This window comes from Homo sapiens, chromosome 2 (assembly GCF_000001405.40).
Source record: "Homo sapiens chromosome 2, GRCh38.p14 Primary Assembly".
Taxonomy (NCBI): Eukaryota; Metazoa; Chordata; class Mammalia; order Primates; family Hominidae; genus Homo; species Homo sapiens.
Genome location: NC_000002.12, coordinates 79,517,449 through 79,542,693, shown reverse-complemented (window position 1 = coordinate 79,542,693; position 25,245 = coordinate 79,517,449). Strand labels below are relative to the sequence as shown.

At 35.9% G+C, this 25,245-nt stretch overlaps 1 protein-coding gene across 10 annotated transcripts in view; it reads right to left on the bottom strand.

Moving 5' to 3' along the window:
• The window catches only part of CTNNA2 (catenin alpha 2), a 1,463,404-nt gene that overhangs the window by 1,106,087 nt on the left and 332,072 nt on the right, over window positions 1–25,245 (bottom strand). The window contains exon 1 of one of the 10 annotated variants that reach the window (NM_001282598.2): window positions 19,385–19,511. The exons of the other annotated variants lie outside the window; for them this stretch is intronic. Within the exon in view, the coding sequence (NP_001269527.1) occupies window positions 19,385–19,481 (97 nt within the window). The 5' untranslated portion in view covers window positions 19,482–19,511. Of the gene's footprint in view, window positions 1–19,384; window positions 19,512–25,245 lie in introns of those variants that run through there. 10 annotated transcript variants of the gene reach the window in all.

Here is a 25,245-nt window from a genome sequence, read left to right as displayed (position 1 = left end):
AAGAATTTGCTAATAGTGTTTAAGGTACTACGCTATAAACTTTATGTGCATTATCTTTAATCCTTTATAGGTTAGTACTATCATCTCATTTTACAGATAAGTAAATTAGGGCTCAGAATGCTCATTAAACCTGCCCAGTTTTAGTGAGCAATGAAGCTGAGATTCAAATCTGGGAATTTTGCTTCAAAGCTCAACACAGACAAAAAAATTGAGACATTCTGTTTAAATGTCTGCAACCTAATTTCAATGCTTTGAAATCACAAAAATACAAAAGTCAATTACATTCAAAAAGGAAAAGTAACTTTTGCTGCTTAAGTTTGCAAAACTCATAAAGAATACTAAATAGAATAGTTATTTTAGGATAAATCTTTTACTTTTAACATCAGATAACATAGTGCATTTTGTAATACAAAATTTCTTTCTTTCGATTTTGAAGGGCTGAAGAAATAGCCCATACTAGGGGATGAAAAATGGGGATTAATACTGGCAGTAGGAAATTGCAGCAGCCAGACAAAACCCTTCAGGTTATCTTGGCAAGTTTAGCAGTGCTGAGAACATTCACACAATATATACTACTTTCGGGCTAAAAGGTTCGGCACATTTCAGTTGCAGAAGTATAAAGCCTAGTTTTTAAAAAGCTAAAGAGAAAAAAAAAGAAATTATAAGGCCAGAAAGCTCTCAGTTGAAAGCATTATTAGTTTTCTAGCATTATGAAAAATTATCACCACAAGCACCATGTCACACATTCCATAAAAATTATGAAGACTGGGGCCAGGCACGGTGGCTCACGCCTGTAATCCCAACACTTTGGGAGGCTAAGGTGGGTGAATCACGAGGTCAAGAGATCGACACCATCCTGGACAACATGGTGAAACCCCGTCTCTACTACAAATACAAAAATTAGTTGGGCGTGGTGGCGCACACCTGTAGTCCCAGCTACTCAGGAAACTGAGGCAGGAGAATTGCTTGACCCCAGGAGGTGGAGGTTGCAGTGAGCCAAGATCATGCCACTGCACTCCAGCCTGGCAACAGAGAGAGACTCTGTCTCAAAAAAAAAAAAAAATTATGAAGATTGGGGAAATGCAAATCGTAAATGTTCTAATAAGCTGAGACACCAGCCACTATTTAACCTATTAATCAACTCCTAAGCCATAAGAATTTGGGCTATATGGCAAATATTTCACTCTGTAGCTAAATATATCCTTTAGTACATATTTTTACCAAGTATATGAGTGTATATATATATATATATATATATATATATATGTGTGTGTGCGTGTGTGTATGTGTATATATGTATACAAGTATATGTATGTATTTATACATATGTGTAAACATTGTGTGTGTGTATATATATATATATATAGGATATCTGTGTGTACATATAAGAGCTCCAAAATTAAAGCAGCTCCATTCTATTCTAACATTTGTAAAATAAGAATTTGAAAAATTATTCTTGTGTGTGTGTACATATATATATATATACACACAAACTCATATATATGTGTAATATATATGTTTATACTTATACACATGAATATACTTTCAAGGTTAAAAATGTTAACAAAAGACACATAGGGATAAGCACAGTTACATTGCAGACTTAAAACCTAACAAAGAAATGTTTTTTCAGGACATGTCTCATGGACATTTTATACAAGGTATGAAATGCTAAATCACAAGCAAACCAATCAAAACAATTTGATCAACACAACATTAAAATTTGACATTTAATCACACCAATCCGATAGCTATTAAATAAAAGCTACCCATTTCCAACTCTCCATACCATGTTAAGTTGTTTCAAGCAAATTATTTGATCAAACTTACAGTAAGTAGGAAAAGTTATCAACACTTCAAAGTACTCAGAAATAAACAAATCACTGAAGAGTTAAATGGTGTCCAAAAACTACACAAAGCAAAGTCACGGAATCAAAGATCTTTTTTAAATGTATAAGCGACTTCATTAATATTTAACAAAATTGAATCACATTTGGTTCACTTATATTTCATGTGCTCATTATAAATACATAACTATGACTTAAAAATGTGTTTGTCCTGTGAATCAACTAAAACAATTGAGTCATCCTACATAAAGCAAGTGGCATTCATGCCACACTTTAGGAAACAGTAATGTAAACGATTACAGGAATACAATGGGGATTAGTATAATTTTGGGTGGGGAGATTTAAAGGAAGGATAGTCCAAACGGAGATGGAGTCAGCTGAGGGGCAAAACTCTGCTTCTCTTCTATTTATTTCAAGGGCATATGTTGCACTTACTCGGTGCCAGACACTGTTTAAGGTGCTCTGCAAATATCCAATCATTGATTCTTACTGTAACCCTATGAGGTAAGTAATATTGTTATATGCATTTTACAGATGAGAAAGCTAAGGTACGGTGAGGGTCAGTCACTTGCCCAAGCTAGTAAGTGGCAGAGCCAGGTGTTGTACCTAAACACAGCCCACACCCCTAACCACTAAGTGGTACTGCTTTGAATGACCGAAAACTGCCCCCTTTGGATCCTTTTTCTCTTACTCATTCCCTTTTGTGATATAAGTTTAATTATTCTTTCATACAAAAAAATATATAAGGTTCTGGGGAAACATCAGCAAACAAAAGCAACAGAGTTCCTGTTCTCATGAAGGTTGCAGTCTGGTGGGACAGAAAGGAATTTAGGAATTATATACAAATTAGTGTGTAACTGCTAATTAAAATAAATACTATTTAAAAGCCAGGTTTTCTTAATGCACGTGACAAGAAACAAGACCTGGGTGGGGCAGTCACAGAAAGACCTTCCAAAAAGAGACACTAAGCAGGAGGAGCTCTAAAGATACTGTCATTAACCAGGTAAAGAAGTGCAGGAGCTAGAAATGCACAGCCCCCCTAATTTCCATGCAGTTGTGGTCAGCCTCATTTATTGATGTGGAAGTGGAAGGACAGATAGTTCTGGTCCACAAGAGTCTTTCAAACACTGACAGGCTTGAGGTGACCAGAAGGGAAAAATGAGATCACAGGATTCAACAACTGAGGGCAAACACACTCCCAGCTGGGGGTAAAAGTAGCATTTCCAAACCTCCCTGTTCCTGTCTATCCTAATAATAAAGCCACCCACAGTTTATTACAATATAAAGATAAAATCAGAGTGATTTACAAGTAACATTGTATCTGAAAGTAACATTGTATCTGAATTCTTTGAGCTGCTAGAATTCACATTACTGCTTCCAAGGGCCTCATACAGTCAAAAAGGTTTACAGTGATTTAGCCTTCATGACTTTATATCCAGAGGACCCAGGACCACAGATATCACCTTCTATCACCTCCAGCATTTCCAATGGCCTTCTCGAGGCCTTTCACACTTTCTAAACACGCTCTTGATGTGTGAAGGCCAACAGAAGACACGAGGAAAGCAAAAGTTTCAACAATTATGAATAGATCAGAAAGGCTACTTCCTGCCATTTGCATGCCTCACTCCTATTAATATATTTCCCCATAGTGTTGGTTCTGTTTTTTAATAACAGCACAACACCGCTGACTCACATTCACCATATGGTCTTCTTGGACTCCCAGGTCTCTGTCTGCTGTACTTGTGCCTGCCTAGCTAGTCTTTTCTTAACCATTATCTGTGCAATTATTTGGATATTTTCATACCAAAGAAAAGCTTGGATTTATCCTTATTGATCTTGATTTTGATGTAAGCAGATCACTTCTCTAGGTTATTCCATTCTCAAGTATGCTGCCCTCGTTCAGGTCTTCATAAGGCCTCACCTGACTTGCTGCAAGAGCCTCCTAATTGATTTATCTGCCACCACCTTTCCCAGTTATGATCTTCTGTTTGCACAGTCATCATGTCATGCTTCAGACATTAGAGCACACTAATTAGACAGCTTGCCCCTGGAATAGAAATAAAGCTCAAATCTCTCAGAATAGCATTTAAGACCATATAAAATCTGTTCCCAGCCTTCTTCTGACCAAACTCTGACCCCATGTAATTTAAATATGAACCACACATGCCTACTCACCTCTCAGCAATATTCTCTGAGCTCCCCTACTTTGGGTCATGCTCTCCATTCCCATAGAATGTTACTATTTCCAGCCCTACCTGCTATTTCCACTCTCAAAATCTGCTCGATAGCAAGGCCATATCTCTGGATTTTCCCCATTCACCCCATCCAACATGTCTCTCTGTCCTCCATGCTTCCACAGTATTTTGTATCACTATTACAATCCAGTAATTCCTCAACAATTCCAAAGATAACTAAATACCACGTTTGCAATAAACAAGGCTGGCATGTTCAAGTTCTCAACAACAACAATAAATAAATAAAGGATTAGAGAAAAAAATCATAACAGCTTTAGTCTATAAAATTACAGGCGGTATAAGGTTTTTCAAAGACACTTGTTTCTGATATATTGTGGTTAAAAGTATACCCTGATAAGGTTTTTTTTTCGAATAATCATCTTTATTACTAATGCTGCAGCATAATCCTTCCAGAAGCTGATATGTTCACAGTATTTATTAATAGGTTATAGAGTTTGAAACAACAAGTTTGAGTTTGTGTTTTATCTTTGTTTTTTACAAACTATCTTAGTGTTTTAAAACATGTTTTTGTGATCCTGGTCTTACTCCTCTACATTGAGTGAATGGAGTTTAAATAGATCTTCCCTCTCTTGGAATGAACAGGGTCACCATTTTTCCTTCCAAAAGTAGAATCAATAATGTTCATATTCGCTAAATGAAGGAAACTGAAGTAAGCCATGCATATGTAAAATGATGTTAGATTTTCAACTTGGGGTATAAAATTATAAAACCCAAATGTCCAAAACCACAGATCCTGAGGGGCTACTGGTATCCAGGAAAGTTGTATGCATAACTTTCTCTTGAAAAAAAAAAAAAGGCATAGTAATTCAAGAAACATGTGCTAAACAAAATTATGTTCTAGGATGCAAATATAACTGACATGGTAAGTATTTATGGTCTAAAGGTAAAAGTGGTTCTGATGGTTTCTGCATTCTACTTTTACATAGTGCGGGCAGCAAGCAGCCTTTGCTACTGGGTGAACCCCTGAATTTGAGCAAGAATGAAAACTGATTACCAAGACGGATTTGGTTCCTAAGGGGAAAATACCTTAACCGTTCTGCAAGGAAGCCAGTCTTCTCCTAAAGTTGGGTTTTCCTAAGGTCATACACATGACACCTCTCACCATAACTGGAAAATGCAGAAAAATGAACACCCCAAGCATAGACCCTAGCAGCATAAGAACAAAGGGATAAAAGAACTAAATGTGATGCAAGAGCACGGGAAAGGGCATGAAAGGATAGGAGTGCAGGAACTGAGCATGAGCAGAGCATTCTGAGACAAGAAATGTTAAAATCCCAGAGTAGCAGAAATCTAGGGGGAAACATTTGCTTACAGGCTGATGAGCATTTGATTCAAGGGCTTGTTAATTTCTAGAAATGGTGGTCATTACATAACAAGGCAGACTGGTGGATCAGGCAGGTCAAATCAGTCAGTTAAGCAGTCATTTTTTCAACTCACCAACAGAACGTCCTTCAATGGGGGGTGGTTTAAGCCCTCCACGTGCAAATAAAAAGGGCAGAGACACTGAGGAGAGAACAGGCAATTTTGCAAACAGTGGCAAGTGAGGTAAACAACATGAGAACCCTGAGTGAAGAACAAAAGGCAAACAGGAAAACCAAGAGACACAGATGTAAGTACAGTAAAATCCATGGGGAGGCGGAGGTGGGCGGATTGTCCGAGCTCAGGAGTTCGAGCCCAGCCTGGGCAACACGCTGAAACCCCGTCTCTACTAAAATACAAAAAGTTAGCTGGGCATGGCAGCATGCACCTGTAACACCAGCTACTCGGGAGGCTGAGGCAGGAGAACTCCTTGAACCCGGGGGGTAGAGGTTGCAGTGAGTGAGCCAAGATCGCACCACTGCACTCCAGCCTTGGTGACAGAGCAAAACTCCTTCTCCAAAGAAAAGAAAAGAAAAGAAAAGAAAAAAAAAATCCATGGTGAAAGTGACGACAGTAGAGTAGGGGATGAGCTCAAAGCAAATGCATGCATGTACCCCACCCTCAACACAAACACACACACACACACACACACACACACTTCTTTAGAGATATTTAGGTGTATATATGCTAACTTAGGAAACTTTAGAAAACCTTGTTATGATATTATTAGTCAAAAAATATTTAAGCCACAGTTTCGCAATTTTAAGATTGTACTACTGGTATCTGGAGTATCTGAATCTCTGGATCTTACTTGCCATTTCATTATGAAGCTGTACACTATTAGCTAGGATGGCCAACTGGAGAATTAACCTGAATGTGCCTATACTTTTCCTACCAATCTGGATGGTGACAAACCATACAGCTTGCACCTTAATAGAAACAGATATATGATCAGAATCAACCAAATAGCGATCATGCTTTCACCTCATTACACAACTCAGCTCTTGACAAATTAAGAAAACCTAGCCACTTGGGAAAGTGAGGCTGGCAATGTGAATCTAGGTATGGCTTTCTTTGTATATCTCTGACTTTTTGGTAACTTCTCTTCCCTGTCAGCAGACCCCAATCAGTGCCTCATTACCTTGACCGAATCTTCTTCCCTGCTGTGACCCCTCTGAAAATTATCTGTCTACGTTGCATCCCTTCAAGAATTTGGGTACCATCCAGTTAACTTATAAATGTCAAAATCAGAAAAGAGCTTGAGAGCTGTTCACGTACGTGTCCATTCAAACATTCCACAAACATTAGTGATATTTTATGGCAAGGCAGATCTAATCATGGTAATTGGGCTGGCATTTTTTTCAACTCTTCAACAGAGCTGACAATGTGCAGCTATACAAGAGCCTTGAAGATACAAAAATCTTAACTATCTCCCTGCTGTTATCTTTAATTCTTTCTGGGAATACCTTCTAAGCACCTTGATTTTCCTCCCCCTTCATATTTGACCCGTCCCTGGAAGCTAAAATTCTGATAGCATTCATACCTAAAAATACATTATTATTTATTTAAATTATATATATGATTATGTAATTACATATCCAATGGGATAGTAAGGACAAATATAAGAATAAATGATTTTGAAGGGCATAATTTTTTTAAATGTCAAGTTTTACATTCTACTTATAATAATTTCTAAATTTATTTTGCCTGGTTATAAAAGCAAAATATGGGCCGGGTGCAGTGGCTCACCCCTGTAATCCTAGCACTTTGGGAGGCTGAGGCAGGCGGATCACGAGGTCAGGAGTTCGAGACCAGCCTGGCCAACATGGTGAAACCCTGTCTCTACTAAAAATACAAAAAATTAGCTGGGCGTGGTGGCAGGGGCCTATAATCCCAGCTACTCCGGAGGCTGAGGCAGGAGAATCACTTGAACCCAGGAGGCAGAGGTTGCAGTGAGCCAAGATTGCACCACTGAACTCCAGCCAGGGCGACAGTCTCAAAAAAAAAAGAGCAAAATATGTTCATTGAAAAATAGTTTATTCATTTTTCTGAAAGATTTAGGGTTTTTTATTGACTGATAAGAGCTCATTAGCTATTAAACAGATTAAGATTTTGTCTATCATATGTTAAATTTTTTTGCATGAATAGTTTATCTCTTTATTTCACCGCCTTTTAAAGTAATTTCTTAAAAATTATGTCATACTTAATCTGTCAGTTGTTTACTTTTAAATTTCTTCCTTTTTATGCTTGGAAAGGCCTTCCCTACTCAATATCAGATTAAATAGTTATGTGTATTTTTTTCTATTTGTTTTGCAGGAGTTTTTTTTTTTCACCCTTCTTACCAACTAACTGGCTATAAAAATATTAACAGCAAAAATCAGAAATGAAAAAATATTTATCCAGAACTTGACATATTTGAAAGGGAAGCCAATAATCACACAAGTGGAAAGCTATATAAAACACAGCTGAAGTTATCACAAAGTCAAGAAAAATGTTGTATTTCAGAAACTGGGGACAACAAGCACAATATCAAAAATGAAAAAGAGGAACTCAGGAGAAAATATACTATCAGTACTAGAATAAATATATCTGTATCTAGGTGATCATGGGTTAAGAGTAGCAAAAATTATCTATAAATCTTTTTTATAATAAACTAACGTTCATTTACCTCAACTCTATGAGGCTTACAGGGAAAAAAAAACTGTTCACAAGTTTTCATTTTAAGATAATTAAATTGAAAAAGAATACCTATTATGAGCCTGAAAGACAAGGAACTGGATATAATTAAGTACTGCAGGAAGCTATATAAACTTATCCTAGCGTTATAACAAACAATATGGCCATAATCACTAGAGCCTTCAACTCGGTATCTATACTCTTAGGATCCTTAAGCTCAGTTTTTAATAGAAAGTAATGCGCCCAACGGTGTTCATTTCTAAACTGTTTACAAATAAAAGCCAAAAATAATAAAAATGTTTAAACATGTAATAAAATGTAGCCATAAAATAATAATTATTAAATATAGATAACAATTGGGAACTATGACTTTTTAAAATGACATAAAATCATATGTATTCTATGACTACAACCATGTTGAAAATGAATATAAACAAGCCTGAAAAGAAACACAGAAATGCAAACAACATACATCACAATTTTGACAAGAAGGATAACACTTCTCTTTTAAGAAAAATGTCCTTAGTTATAATATTATTTGTGCAGCAAACATAGTTAATAAAAAGCTTTATAAAGGCTCAGATCAGTATTTCCTCTGGTGGATTCTGCAGGATGCCAGTTGTTATTCCAGCAAGGCCGAGCAGGAGAGGGCAGATTGGTAGAGAGATTTTGTGCCAAATTAATGTAGGATATATGGATATATGATATTTAAGTGTAGTTTAATTGTGTTTTGTTGTTTCCTCTTTGGGCTATTTGTTTGCCTGTTTAATGGCAGAAACTCTCAGACACTATTTTAGAAGAAAAAGCAAGTCGTTTCCCAAGTTTACCTATAAACAGAACCTGATCGATAAAGCATTCCTTAGGACTAGTATCCCACAATAGGTGCTCCTCTAGATCTCTGAATCCATTAGGAACATGTGCCATTATTAAGATCTCAATCAGTTTAGGGGCCACTTGTGTCTCTCATCATCTATAACACAATTACAAAATTGTATATTATTTAATATACTCTAGTTAGTTGATAAAATACAACCCATGGGAACTCAGTGTGTTTTTTTCTAAGTCTCAAGAATGTCTTAATATACTTTTAGATACTGTAAAATTGATATTTCCAAACATACCAAAACTTCTATAAACTACCATTCACTTCATGTTTTAAAACAGTTAATATATTGAAACTGAATAAGTTTACTGAATACCTGTATTTACTGACCATATGCTAAATTCTGTGATACACATTGTAAGGTATACTTAGATGAATAAAGCTTATCCCTGCTTTAAAGACATTCTCAGTCAAGAGTACAGGTTATGTAGCGGGTATGGAGCCTGGACAACAAATACAACAATAACTCTAAGAAAAGGTGTAACAAAAATGGGGAACAGATAAAGGGATATAGCAGTTAGGAGGAGAATGAGATGGAAGCATTTTAAGGGATCAGATACAAATTCATCAAGGAGCGAGACTGCATATTAGATGAACTTCAATGACATGTAGAAGGTCTCCTAGGTAGACAACAAAAAATGAGTCCAAGGTGCCCTGAAGAAGAGCCAGGGGTATGGGAGAGGAATATTTCAGACTTGTCAGGGAAGAGGGTTCCCTTAGAGGAGCATGATAATGTCTTTTTGGAATGGGAGCTATGAGCTTGAGTCTGGAACACAGGACCCGTGAGTTACGGTAGGCTAAGGCACTTACAGTTAATTAGGTAGCCAGAGAAACACACTGAATGCTTTTTCAGCAAGATTAGAACTTCAAAAATTAATCAGGTGCAGGTGCATCCAGATTAGGGGTTTTAGCATTGGAGAAATGACAACTCAGGAACACAGACAGAAAGACAGAGACAGAGACTGAGAGAGCAGATTAAATTCTGTGATGAGAGGACAGTACAGAATTAAGCAGCAGCTTGGCGGTTTTTGGATGTTCCAAAATATGTCATTCAAAAATACATCAGCGAGAAAAACAAAGAGATTAGAAAGTTCATTTGTCAATAATAGCCAATGATGGTGAAAGAAAAATCAATTAGTTAATCAGAAGAATGCATTCAGGAAGAAAATTTTTAAAGTATTAAAGCACATTCAATGAATCCACCTATACTCATCTTTAAATTGTAATTCAATCACAGTAGTACTATAGCAAAATAGCACAATTATAATATAAATTTGGAACATAGGCTAGAAGGAAATAAGACAAGTGAATACTCTCTTTTACCTCCTAAATTCACAGGGGTCAGAGTCGTCACAAAGCTTATTTAAGCATCCCATGAAGTCACTCCCCTAATGACTAGTACAGAATTACTTTCTAGGGACAGAGCCCATCCCTATAATTTTATTTTCTGAGACCCAGTGGGCTGAGAGAGCCACATTACTTTATCCATTAATCCTGACTGTTTTTAAAAAAAGTGGAACAGAAATTGGTCAGTTCAGCATCTTCAAGCATACCATAATATAATGGTAGAATTCTTGAGACTGGAGAAGTCATTTACCAAACCAGCGTCTGTAACAGAGTTCAGGAAAACTCTTTAGGCCTTCTCAATTAACATTATTCATATGGAGGATTTATTTTTAAAAATATTTACTAATGTCTGGGTACGGTGGCTCATGCCTGTAATCCCAGAACTTTGGGAGGCCAAGGCGGGCAGATCACGAGGTCAGGAGTTCGAGACCAGCCTGACCAACATGGTGAAACCCCGTCTCTGCTAAAAATACAAAAATTAGGTGGGCATTGTGGCACGCGCCTGTAATCCCAGCAACTCAGGAACCAGAGGCAGGAGAATCACTTGAACCTCGGAGACGGAGGTTGCAGTGAGCCGAGATCATGCCATTGCACTCCAGCCTGGGCAACAGAGTGAGACTCTGTCTCAAAAAAAAAAAAAAAATTTACTAACATAATTTTAGCCACTCATGTCATCTTTGTAAATCCAATAACACCTCTGTGTGTATCTTTTGTGTCAATGCTTACACACCTTGCCTCTTTTGGACCTTAAGCTAAAGTCCTTGGACACCCTGCTGTGTATTATTGCAGGCATAAAACAAGTGTGCAAGGAGACTGTTTCCGTTGCTATGGAAATATCATTTAATTTCCTAATTAGTAGGTATATAAATGCAAAACCATAGCATTTGATTATTTCTGAAGTTTGGCAACAAAGTCTATTGTTCATGTCTGAGAACAAAGTCTCTATGTTTTCAACACTGTTATTCAAAGTAAGAATTTAAAACTTAAACTGTCTGGCATTTTAATGCTTATAAATTGATTTGCTGCACATGAGAGAAATGAAAGAATAAACTAAGAAACCTATGTAAGTCATTTATTCTTACCCTCAAGCTATATATATATATATATATATATATATATATATATATATATGAGCGTATCTATTTACTAATAAATAAAAACTAGTGGTGGCATTTCCCTTACAAAAGAACTTCTTTAAATCATAACTTCCCTAGTGGTTATAATTACAAAGTGAGATTTTAGCAGTCCATCTATTATATAAAGCAAAGCATAACTGACATCTTCTTTTCTCCCCTCCATCAAATTTTATCTAATTTGGGCTTTGCAATAAAGTAAGAAAGAATATAAATTATTCAGATGAAGCACAAAGTTTTAAAAAGTGTTAAAATTCTAAGACCCATTTCTGTCTACCTACTCTAGGAAACTAATTCACCAATGAACTCACTATCCTGAGTGTTCTGTGCTCAAACTGCTCCACTTAAAACAAAGCACACTAAACTGAACCTTCTCTTTATGCTTCCCTCTCACTTCCCTTTCAGCATCCAAGTCTGCTAAATATCTTTGGAAACATACAACATCTAATTTCTGTTTCACACTGACTCTTCAATACTATCAGGTTTCTGAGGTGACCACTTGACTGAAGCTACTCTGGCAAAGATCAAGTGAGATCCACTTCTTACTCAACAAATACAGTGGCCTCTAGCGGCCTCTCTATTCTTTAACCTCTCTGATCTATGCAACAACATTTTATGATCTCCTTTCCTGCCTGGAAACAATGGAAACTTGGAAACTCTTCCTTCACAACTTAAAAGGAGTTAAGGAAAAAAAAAATCAACCAGTGAGGCACCTGCCTTCCCCTTCTCCACTCTTCACTATTCAGATTGTGCAGTGTGAAAACTAGAAATGGTTTCTCAGTAAAGAGATATGTTTCCTTTTTATCGATAAACTATTTCTGCTAGTTGTATGGACAGTAACAGTAAAATATCTTTGTTTTGCTGGAGAAGTGAGGCATCCTGTTAACAAGAAATGCTGCTTTTTTTTGTTTTACTGAAAACATATTTTGCACAAACCACTAAACCCACAAGAGTTACAGTTTAGCTTAGCAAGCTTCATTTGTAAAATGTTACCCACGCCAATAATTGATTCGTGTAGTAAAATAAAGAATGCAGCTGGAAGGAAAATTCTGCTGGCTTAAATATCAGAAATCAGGATGAAGAGAAAACAAAGCTAACCTCCCACCACAGAAAGCCTTCAGAGCAGACCACAAAGTGGACATGGGGTCATTGTTTAGCTGCTGATCTGACCAGTTTCCACAGTCTCTTCTCATCACCAGCAGAGCTCCAGTGGCTCCTGAGACCAGGCTGCACAACTGCTACACTTTTAGAGCTACCCAGGAGCTACAATCCTAGTCCACCAAGGAATGTCCCGGTTCAGCCTTTATCATCTGCTTGAGTCATTTCTTACCCTTCCTTTCTCTTGTTGACGTCATAACCCAGAGACCTCATGGCTGGAAGCAGTAAACAGATGCAAGATTTGATCTTACAACTGCCTCTCTTTGCTTGTGTATGCTTTGGCTAAAAATCCAAACCAAAAGCTAAAAGTAGGAGTAACATATTTCTTTTCCAAGTGTGTTTTCTTTTTCATTTTGCTGACTTTCTTGACTTCAGAGGTAAATACCCTCATACGATTCCTCTCTTTCTTTCCCATTAAATGTGTCTCATTATTTGTCACTTAAGCAGTGGTATTCCTGAGATGCAGATCCCATACTTAAAATGCTTTATGCAACCTTAGGGCATTTCATCTACTTCCACAGCTATAACTGTCACCTCCTGTTTCACTCTAAAATTTCTAATTTGAATACCAACAGCTCAGAAGTCCAGATCTTATTCCTAAATGTCTATTGAAGACTTGCATCTGGATGTCCTGTAAGCTCTTCATATTTTACATCATCAACACCAAGCATCAGCTAACTCCTGAATTATGTTTCGCACAAGAAGACATGTGATAACGTTCACGGTTAGCCTTGTCTTTGCCTTTGTCCTGAATCTCACATTCAGATGGTTCCTAAGTCTTCTTGCTTCTGTATAATCAGTCCTGTTGTCTCCTTCCCTACCACCTTCTCATGCCTCATCCCTCCTCTATGCACTCTGGCAACTGTATGATTTGTTGAGCCTTAAATTTACACTGACATTCCTACCTTCATGCTTTCCCCTCAACCTGGAATGCTATTTCCTAATTTATCTTTATAGGAAAGTTTTACATGTTCTTCAAGTTCCTGTTGAAATGTGAATCTTCTTGACCTTTGTCTAATTCTGTTTTACTTTAAACACTCCTTCATCACTGCTACCTATAACTTCCAATATACCTCTACTCCATGTCATATTCCTCAGTTTGTTTACGGGCCGCACTTTCCCGCTATATACCATTAGATGTCCTAAGGGTAGAAACCATGTCTTACTTATCTTGGTATCGTAAATAGACTACCTTACCTAAGAAAGGCAATTAAGAAATGTCTTTTCAGCTATATTGTGGCTAGATATAAACATAATTAAATGTCATTTTCAAAGTAAAGAAATATTCATTTTGTGATTATATGAACATAGTACAATTGTACTCTACAATGTGAATTGGCTTTAAGTTCAACTCTAGTGAAAAAATACATGATTTAATATTATGACAAGGAGTAATTTCTACATTCCAAATGGAAAAACAAATAAAACCACAAATAATTATTTGATTTGTTTGCCTTACATTATAGGCATAATTCATAAGCAATATTTACCATTTTAAAGTGTATAATTCAGTGGATGTTTTATAGTATATGCACAAACAGTATATGCAACCATCACCATTATCTAATTCCAGAATTTGCATCATCTCAAAACGAAAACTCTCAGTCTGGGCAATACAGCAAGACCTTTCTCTACAAAATAATAATAATAATAATAATCAGCCAAGCATGGTGGCATACCCCTATAATCCCAGCTACTGTGGAGACCAAAGGGAGAGGATCGTGTGTGTCTAGGAGTTCGAGCTGCAGTAAGCTATGGTTGCACCACTGCACTTAACCTGGGCAACACAGTGAGACCCTGTCTCCGTGTCTCCAAAAAAAAAAGAAAAGAAAAGAAAAAGAGAACGTGTACCCATTAGCGTTCATTCTTCATTCCTCCCTTCTCCCAAACCCTGACAACCACTAGTTTTTCTCTACATAGATTGGTGAATTCTGGACATTTTATATAAATTCAATCAAACAATATGTGATATTTTGTGTCTGGCTTTCTTTCACTTCACACAATGTCTTCAAGGATATCCACGTTTCACGTGTATCAGTACTTTTTCCTATTTATGGTGGAATATTATCCCATTGTATAAATATGCCTTATTTTGTGTGTCCATTCTTCAATTAATAGACATCAGATTTTTCAACTTTTTGGCTATCATAAATAATGCTGCTATGGATATAAATGTACAGAGTTTGGTGTGGACATATGTTTTTGCAGCTCCTTAATACACATCTAAGAATAGAATTGTTGGGTCATAAGGAAATTTTATATTTAACTTTTTGAGAAACTACCAAACTGTTTTCCAAATTAGCGGCATCATTTTATATTCCCCCTTAAATTTACAATGACATTTCTACCTTCATGTATAAGGATTCCAATTTCCCCATATTTCTCACCAACGTTTATTAAATTTTTTTTTTTTTGAGACAAAGTCTCAGATGGCGCCATCTCAGCTCACTGCAGCCTCCGCCTCCTGGGTTCAAGCTATTCTCCTGCCTCAGTCTCCTGAGTAGCTGAGATTACAGGTGCCAACCACCAGGCCTGGTTAATTTTTTTTTTTTTTTTTTTTTGTATTTTTAGTAGAGAAGGGTCTCACCATGTTGGCCAGGATGGTCTCGATCTCCTGACCTTGTGATCCACCGCCTTGGCCTCCCAAAGTGCTGGAATTACAGGTGTGAGGCACCGCGCCTGGCCTAATATTCTTTTATTAGAACTCGTCTAGCAGGTGTGATCTCGTATTTCATTGCGGTTTTGATGTGCATTCACTTGATGATGCTGAGCATCTCTTCGTGTGCTTATTTGCCATTTGTATATCTTCTTTGGAGAAATGTCTATTCTAGTCCTTTGTCCATTTTTAAATTTAGGTATTCTTTTTACTATTAAGCTGTAATCATTCTTTATATGGTTCTTTATAAATTTGGAAGAATAGATTCTTACTGATATGATTTGTAAATATGTTCTCCCATTCTGTGGGTTGTCTTTTCACTTTCCTGATGCTGTCCTTTGATGCATAAAAGTTTTTAATTTTGATAAAGTCAAATTTACATTATTTTTCTTCTATTGCTTGAGCTTTGGGTGTCATATCTAAAAATCTACTGCCTAATACAAGAAACCAATGCCTAATCCAAGGTCACTAAGATTTACACCTATGTTTTCTTCCAAGAGTTTCATAGTTAGCTCTCATATTTAGGTCTATAATGCATATTGAAGTCTATCATTAATTTTTGTATATGGGAGGAGAAAGCGGTCCAAATTCATCTTTTCCATGTAAATGTTTATTCAGTTGTCTCAGCACCATTTGTTTAAATAACTATTCTTTCCCCCATTAAATTGTCTTGTCACCCTTGTTGAAAAATCAATTAACCATAAATATATGGGTTTATTTCGGAATGCTCAATTCTATTCCAGTAAAATAAATGCCTATGCTGATGTCAATACCATTTAGTCTCGATTATTATACTTTTGCGGTTAGTTTTGAAATTAAGAAGTGTGTCTTCCAACTTTGTTCACCTTTTTTAAGATTGTTTCAGACTATTCTTATTTTACAAATGAATTTTAGAATGAGCATAGCAATTTCTGCAAAAAAAAAAGGAAGCTAGGATTTTCACAGCAATAGCATTGAATCTCTAAATCAATTTGCCTTATTAACAATACTAAGTCTTCCCATTTGTGAACATACATATATTTCCATTTTTTAGGTCTTCTTCAAATTCTTTTCATGATATTTTGTAGCCTCTAGTATCTTCACTAAGTATTTGCATTTTCTTGAGTAAAACGCAAACAGTAACAGTATAGATTGTTTTATAATTACAATAAAGTATAAAAATAAAAACTATTTAAAGTTAGCATTTTACCAGTTGAAACATTTTATAATGCCACTTATAATTTTGATAAAAAATATTTTAAATTCATACTCAAAAAGGAGTATTTATTTCATATGGTATTAACTTGCCTTGGTTAAGAACAGCTCTGCAACTGTAAGATAAAATGAGCAACAATAAAACGTATACACCTGGATTTAAGAAGTCAGCTATTCATAAACAGCAAACAAAAAAATTATTTCCAAAGGCAACCAGTCATCAAGAAAATTTCATCATATAGACAGAAGCATTTCAAATTATTCAAGCAAACTAGAACAGAAAATAGCTATATGTTGTTAACTGAGAGTTTTATTGAAACTTATCATATTAGTATTACTTTAACTCATCCTTATGGTATAATTCTTTAAGAAAAGGCAGTTAACCAAATTTTTAAACTAGATTCAGTGATTCAGCACTAATAAAAGTCTCTTGCCATTCCATGAACCACGACTTACCACTTGTTACTAATTTCACATACACAGTCAATATTCTACAAAGCAAAATGCCTGTTTTCAACAGTAAAAATTATATCATCTATTTAAGCTAACTTATTAGGTTGGTACAAAAGTAATTGTGGTTTTTGCCATTACTTTTAATAATGTAATGTAATGTAATAATGTAATGTAAAAGCAATCTTGCCATTACCTTTAATGGAGAAAACAGCAATTACTTTTGCACCAACCTAATAGAATGGCTCACAGGGTTTTAAGATGATGGGTTCATTAATGATAAATCAATACTGATATGTATGCAGAAAGACTAGACCAGATGAACAATTACAATTCAAGGCAATTAGCCCATTTTCTCAATTTGTATAATCAGTGAAAGATTTTCATTCAAAATAACCATTTTCGTGATTTGAAAAATCATGAAAATACTACCCATGTTAAGCTTCCTCTCAGGTTTGAATAAGAAGATCTTACTGCCAAAAAATAAAATTCTATGTGGGTACGAACTGGAGACTGTAAAATCTTCTTAGTGCTGCTGTACTGGCTATTGTATCAATACTGACACATTTCTAACAAACAATGATGGATGTGGAATGAAGGTCTCGTATTAGCACAACAGCTTCAAAATGCAAATGATGACAAAATATTTAAAAAATTAGATATCCAAACAATAAAGTCACTTGGATAAATAAAAAAAGTTTACTATCACAGGCATTAGCATAATCAAACATGTTGTCACCACCATTAGATCATTATTCACTCAACTCTATCCAAGATATAGAAAAGACATGGCCCGTGCCTTTGAATAGCATACAAAAAAAAAAAGCACCATGGAATACTGAGAAACATCTATAAAAGTGCCAAGTAAATTTCTGGAAGTGAACATATGAAATTCATGTACACACTATGCTTACTCCAAATGGAAAGATTCACAAATATACTGATATTGGTATAAATATACTTACGTTACTATGGAAAAGACAGATATTGAGAATAATTTTAAAAGCAAAATAGGTGTGTCTGGAGTACAGTATAGACAGTGTATTTCCAATCTGAACAGTGTCTCATTCACACTAAATCTAAGATAGAAGACAAAAAATTATTTAAAATTAGAAGACACTGAAATAAAAAGTATATGTTATCATTTTCATGTAAATAAGGCTTGTAAGTGGGGTGTGTGTGTGTGTATGTGTGTGTGTGTTTGTGTGTATTTAAACTATGAACTCTTAACATATAAAAGAGGTAATACAAATTGCTAAGAAAAACACAAGGGCACGTTTTTTTGGACCAATAAGGTATTTCAACAAAGTGACAGGAGACAAAACCAAATATAAAAATCAAAAAGAATAATTTCTACATCAGCAATAACCTATTAGGAAATATTAAAGAATAAAATCCCTTTCCCAACGGTAATAAAAACTCATACAAGATAGCAATAACACAAAATGAGAAATATTTCCTTCTATAAAGAAGGCTATTTATGTTACTGAAGGACACAAAAAAGACTTGAATAAAGAGACCTGCCAATGGAAAGATTATGAATTGAGAGTTGTCACTTCTCCCTCAAAATTATCTTAAATTAAATATAATACTAACTAAAATACAGTGTTGTTTTCAAATTGATAACCTGATTATCATATTCTTCTGAAAATAAAGATGTAAAAATAGAGATGAAACTTTGGGGAAAGAAACCATCACCTACTAGAAATCATAATAGTAGTTTTAATAGTATATCATTAATTCAGGAATAACAACAAATTACTTATACCCAGAGAATATAATTCAGTCCTTAAATTAAAATAACTAAGTCATGCAAAAAAACTTGGAAAACATGAACACACTCATCACAGCAAAGGCAAGACATTAGGCCATTAGACAGAAAGCAAATGAAAAGATAACCTCTAGAAATCTGGGAAACAAATTTATCTAAAAAAGAGGTATTCTTCTTACCTATTCATTGGTAAACTTTTACAAGTTTAAAATTATCACGTATTGGCAAAAGGGTAAAGAAATATGCACTTTCATATTGTTGGTGGAAGGTACTAACAATTGGAAGAGCAATTTGGCACTATTACAATTTAAAATTCACAGACCTTATGACTCAACAACTGCATTTATGAGTTTACCTTTAAAAAATACATTAGTACATGTAGACAATAAACCTGTATAAGGATGTTCATCTTAGCATTGTTTGAAATAGCATAATAGCACAAACAAACTGAATGTACATGGAAATAAGGATTAAATAAACCATGGTACAACCACACTATCAAGTAATAGGCAAGAGTTAAAAAAAACAATGGTGTATATGTTTTTGAGCCAGTGTGGAGATATCTTTAAACTATATGTAAAATGAAAATAAAGTATAGAACATCATGTTACCATTTAAGAAAAAAATATATATGTATATACACAGCTACACAAACCTTCACCTCTATTTCTTTGAAGCAGTCTCCTGGGGCCCCCAAAATCAATCTTCTGCCCATGCCACAGCCCATATTGAAGGCAGATCAACCCAGACATTTTATCTCTGTAGACAGCCAAAAATTGAATACTTAAATTCCAAAAAAATGCAATGTTACACAAAAACTAATGTAGAGGAAGAATTTTTATTATGGCAGGAAACGCTTAGATATATTTAGTTAAAAATAATATACAAATTTATATATACCTATGATCTCAGCTGTACTTGAAAACACCCTCACTATATAACTCAGATATACTCACGGGGGGAAAGAAATTCACCAAATGTTCACTGAATAGTTGGACTGCAGTGATTTTTATTTTCCAGACTCTTTTTCTTGTTATTTTCTAGATGTTCTACAATGGGCATTTATTACTGTAAGTGCAAAAGACAAAACATGTTCTTTTTGAAACAATGTATCTTCTGTTATTGGATTCTTGAGATACCTCTGTATAGATAATGCCAAAATATTTCTCTACTCCCAGCCTCTCCCCTTCACTCTAGTCTCACTTTTCAGCTACCTACCGAGTAGTTATCAGTGTCCCAGCTTTAGTTCTCCTGAATGTGATTTCTCCACCTCTCCCACTGCTGTGCTCATTGATCTCATCTCCCTGGCAGGCCAGCCCTGTCCCAGTTCCCAGACCAAGACAGGACTGAATCTGAAAGTACTAATACAAGGTCACCCCCTCCTCCATACTCTTATTCCCATCCATTGCTGAAGCAAAGTTGCTGATTCTGTGTCAGCCTGGATTTTTGCCCCACGCCACTGTGGCATCAGTACCACACTGCAGGACACACTCGATCATTCTGTCTGGTATTAAACTGTTCAGGTATTCATCTTATAGCCCCTACTAGATTGTCAACTTATGAGACAAGGCACTGTGTCTTACTCACGTATGGCTCCAGGACCGTGCCCCTCAAAACAGTGGTTTCGATAACTTGTAGGAAAGCATTTGTAAATGGCTGTTACATATGACCAGAAATCTGAGGATCTGTTTGAAGATGGAGCGAGTTCAGAGACTTAGTTGAATCAACAAGCATTTATGAAGGAATTACTGTGGGCCCAGCAATGACACAGGAGAATACTAGAAAAATGGAAGGTGCGGCTCCTATCCTTAAGACAGAATCTAGAGTGGTTGAGAACACCTTAGGAAAAAAAGTAGAAAATAATTACTGTTTTGGCTTCTGCCTTAACAAGCAAAACATGAAAATCTTCTTGCCTGAGGTCCTGATTTCACAGATGGGCAAACTGCAATCGAATTTGCCTGCCTGGATTCCAGACTACTGCCAGCACTGACTTTTGCTTCCTGTCCCAACTCCATGGGCCCCAATGTGCTTGGCTTTGCTTGTCACTATTTGTATGCTTGCCCACTTTAAATTGTTCCCTTGGGTCCAGATTCCCTGCCCCTCCAGTTCATGCTGTGGGCTAGAATCTAAATTTTCTCCTTCTTGTGCCACGTTGCCCTCTGTCACCTGTTTCTGCATACACTCTCCCACAATAAAAAGTTGTGACCACAATCTCAGCTTTTTGCTTCAACCTCTTGCCAAAACCTGAGAACAAGGCAGGCCTCTATATCAAATTGTAACAAACACTGCTGCTTACTTACCCAACAATCATTTACCTCTTCCTCATTAAAAGAATTGCTACTCTGTTCATCAGTCCCCTAACCTCCTCCACCCAGTGAAGGCTAATCCCATACATAGTCCCAGCCAGTAAATCCTGATTTAGTCTAAGCGCCTATCATTCATGGTATTCCCATTCCCCTTGCCATTGACTAGACTGGGAATGTCCATGTGATTCAGTGCTGGCCAGTGACATAAGAGAGAAGTCTGCAGGAGGGCTTTTGGCAAAAACCTCCTCATTCTGCAGGAAGAGACGCTGCTGCTGCATGACGGTGTGCTAGGAACTAAAGAAGTGATCATAGCACCGGCTGAGGAAGCAGTCAACATGCAGACTGAGCACAGACAAGAGAAATGTAGAAAGCAGAAATTAAGCCCATGTCTCCCATCCTCTGCATTTCTTGTCATTTTAGAAATCTTTTCCAATGTATTCCCCTTCCTCTGCTGCCAGGTAACATATATTAAATAGCGCACCTTAAAATTTATATATATATATATATATATATATATATATATATATATATATATATATATATATATATATCAGCAGCTTTGTTTTCTATCTCAAAGGGGTAACTTTCAAATAGGAATTTGACAGGTATTTTGGTTGTTTTTAGTTTGAAGCTATTATGAGTATGCTGTTATTAATTTTCATGCAAAAGTCCTTGTACATATGTTTTCATTTCACCTGGGAGTGGAGTTTCTGGATCGTATGGTAAGAGTATTTTTAACATTAAGAGAAACTGCCAAACTGTTTCCCAAAGTATTACATTCCCACCAGCAATGTATGAGTATCACAGTTGCTTCACATCCTCTCCAAAACTTGGTATTGCCAGTCTTTACAACTTAGTCATTTTAGTGTTTGGATAGTGGTATCACACTGTGGTTTTAAATTTAATTATTTCGGTGAATTATAGAGTTATCATGTGCTCATTAGATATTTGTATATTTTCTTGTGTGAAATATCTCAGCACATATTTTGTTCATTTTTTAGATGGATTGCCTGTCTTCTTACTGAGTTGCAAGAGTTCTATACATAGTCTAGATAAAGTCCTTTGTCAAACATACAGAGAGAGACATGTAGTTCTAACAAACCTTTTGTCTTTTGAAGAGCAAAACTTCTTTCTTTAACTTTGATAAAGTCTAATGCATATTTTCTTTTAAATTTTATGATTAGTGCTTTTTGGGTCCTAAGGGATCTTTGCCTAATCCAACATCACAGATTATCTCCTATATTTTCTTCTAGAAGTTTATGTACTCAAAATCATAGATTGATCCCACAAACATTATGCTCAATGCAAAAAGGAATATAAAAATGAGCACATATTCTGTGATTCAACCTATATCAATTTCTAGAATAGGAAAAAAGAATCTATAGTGACAGAGAGCAGATCAGTCGGAAGAGAAGATTTTAGGGTAACAGATATATTCTGTATCTTGATCGCACTGCTGGTTACACAGGTGTGTTTGTCAATCCACAACAAAGTATTCACTTAAAATGGGTACACTTTATTGTATAAAACATATGCCCAAAATTTTACTAAAATAATTTTAATGGGAATTTGGAGCTGGATTGGTAGGAAGACTGGTGACCACCAGGTCCTCTGAAATAGAATTTAGGGGGATAAGCAAGGCTTTGCTATGCCTGAGGCAGAAATATTAACCTTAAAGCATATATAATTTCTTAAATAAACATTACTTCATTCTAAATGCATAAATGCCATATAGTCTTTCACAAACATTGGCATGGCCGAAACAAGCCAACCACACACTGGGAGAGTCCCTAAATAGTGGTAGCAACTGACTTGTACCTTCAATGTAGGAAGAAGTTTCAAAATGAAAGAGAGGGAAGGATGGAGAGATAAGAAAAGACAGGTTACTTAGTCCCTCACAGTTTGCCCAGAGACTGTGAAGCTAAATTTGCAATTTTATTGGGAAAGGGAAAGCATATGCCACTGAAGGTGAAGTTTTTTTTTCCTTATGCAGCAGAAGTTTATGTTTCAAAAGAAAAAACAAATGGAACACAATGAAAACAAATCATTTGCCTTGAAATTTTAAGAAAAAAACACATGTAGAATTATAGAATTTTATAGCTAGATATAAGTCTAAGTCACTCAAAAGGCAGATAAAATAAATAAGTGTTGGAGAGTTTGAGGCTTATTTAATCACATAACAAATTAATTAGCTGGTTGAAAACCTGGAGGGGAATCCAGTTGCCTTGGTTCAGTGTGCTTATAAAATTATAATCTCTAGCTCAATGAGAGCATTGAGCACAGAGCAGGTATTTTCAAAAAATACCTGTTGAATGAATTCATGCTAGGTAATATAATAAAAAAAATACATGAAAGGCATAAGTGCAGTAGAGAGATGAATTTAGACACAGATTTATTTTTCCCCAAGACTCTTTTTTTTTTTTTTTTTTTGAGACGGAGTCTTGTTCTGTCGCCCAAGCTGAAGTGCAGTGGCACCATCTCGGCTCACTGCAGCCTCCGCCTCCTGGGTTCAAGCGATTCTCCTGCCTCAGCCTCTCAAGTAACTGGGATTACAGTCGCCCGTCACCATGCCTGGCTAATTTTTGTATTTTTAGTAGAGACAGGGTTTCATCATGTTAGCCAGGCTGGTCTCAAACTCCTGGCCTCAGGTGATGTGCCTGCCTCAGCCTCCCAAAGTGCTGGGATTACAGGCATGAGACACTGCGCCTGGGCTTCCCCAGGAAATTTGAGTCTTGTATACACTTCTTTATGCCACTTCCACATATTAGAAAAAAAAAACATATTTTGTGAAATTACTCTGGCAATTATCAACGCCTGAAGAAACAGAATGAAGTGGTAAACTCTAAAAGACTGTAGGATACCCTTTCCCGGAAACAATTGAGTACAATTAGCTCTTTATAAAGTAGTTAAGGGACATTGCTACTTCCTCACTGAAAGATAGATTGATGATATTTAACAACTGCTTCAGGCCCTATGAATTTAAGATAAACTTGGAAGACTGAATTTTCACCAAATGCTTACAAATAAAACATGGGAACATCAGATCCTCTGGTGATTTCTGGAGTCCTTGTGGTTTCTGGGTGGGATGTGGAAGAACAACTGACATAGCTCCATCAAGAGTCCATGGTTTTAGTTCCAAAACATCAAGGGGCCATAAAAAAGATATTGGACCTACTGCAGATACATAATGAACAACATAAACTCAACTTGCAGAATATGAACATCTCAGAAGCTTTCTATTAATTTTCTATTATGGCTCTGTGGCCCTTGAGACCATATACAACTCAAGGACTTTTTTATCTCTAGCCCTCTGGCATGTCCACTCATTTAATGTAGAAACACTGTAGCAAGTTAGGATCTTATTTAATGTATCTCCATCTCAATACATCCCATAAATGTATTACCTGGCTTCCCCCAAAACTGCCTAGCAAACAAAATAGCCCGATGTCTACAAGTAGCAACATACTGAAAAATCAACATATGATTTATATTACTTTTTTATCCATGCTCTAGTTTTAAAAATTATTCATTGAAATTTACATATAAACTTACTTTAAAGCAACTAAAACATAGATTATAGTAGACATCGCAGCAAAAATTTAGAAAACCCCTAATTGAACAGATAGTTATACATCCTTCAGCTCAAAAGAGAAAACACAATTAATTCATTCTGTCTCATCCTTACTCCACCTCCCTGTTTGGTCACCACCCTCACGTATGGGGAACATACCTGCTTTTTCACTCCTGTTAATGCAAGTTTTCCTAATACCTGAAATGTAATAGTCTAATAGTTGTGTACGCAGATAAGGCCTATTAATAAAAGGAAAAATAAAATAGTGTTCAATAGTAAAGCCCTAGAAAATTAAGGTGTCTGAAGTTAGACTATCACTATGTTTTGTAAAATGTGTTATGAGTAATAATTTCAAAGAGGTATATAATGCAAATTTATGGCTGAGTTAGAATTCAGCTCTGAGGTAAAAATTCACTTATAAGGAAAATAAAAATGTCAAAAATCTCTGGTAGTATAATATAAAGCTGACTAGCAGCAATACATCTGAAAATGTATGATTTAGATTTGCTGAATTTTTAAAACATCAATTAAGAAAGATCTCAACATAAAAAATAAAACTACTACAGTCTATGGTCTGTTAGTTTTTAGAAGTATATTTACATTAGTTTTTAGAAATATATTTGTGTTTATGACTAATAT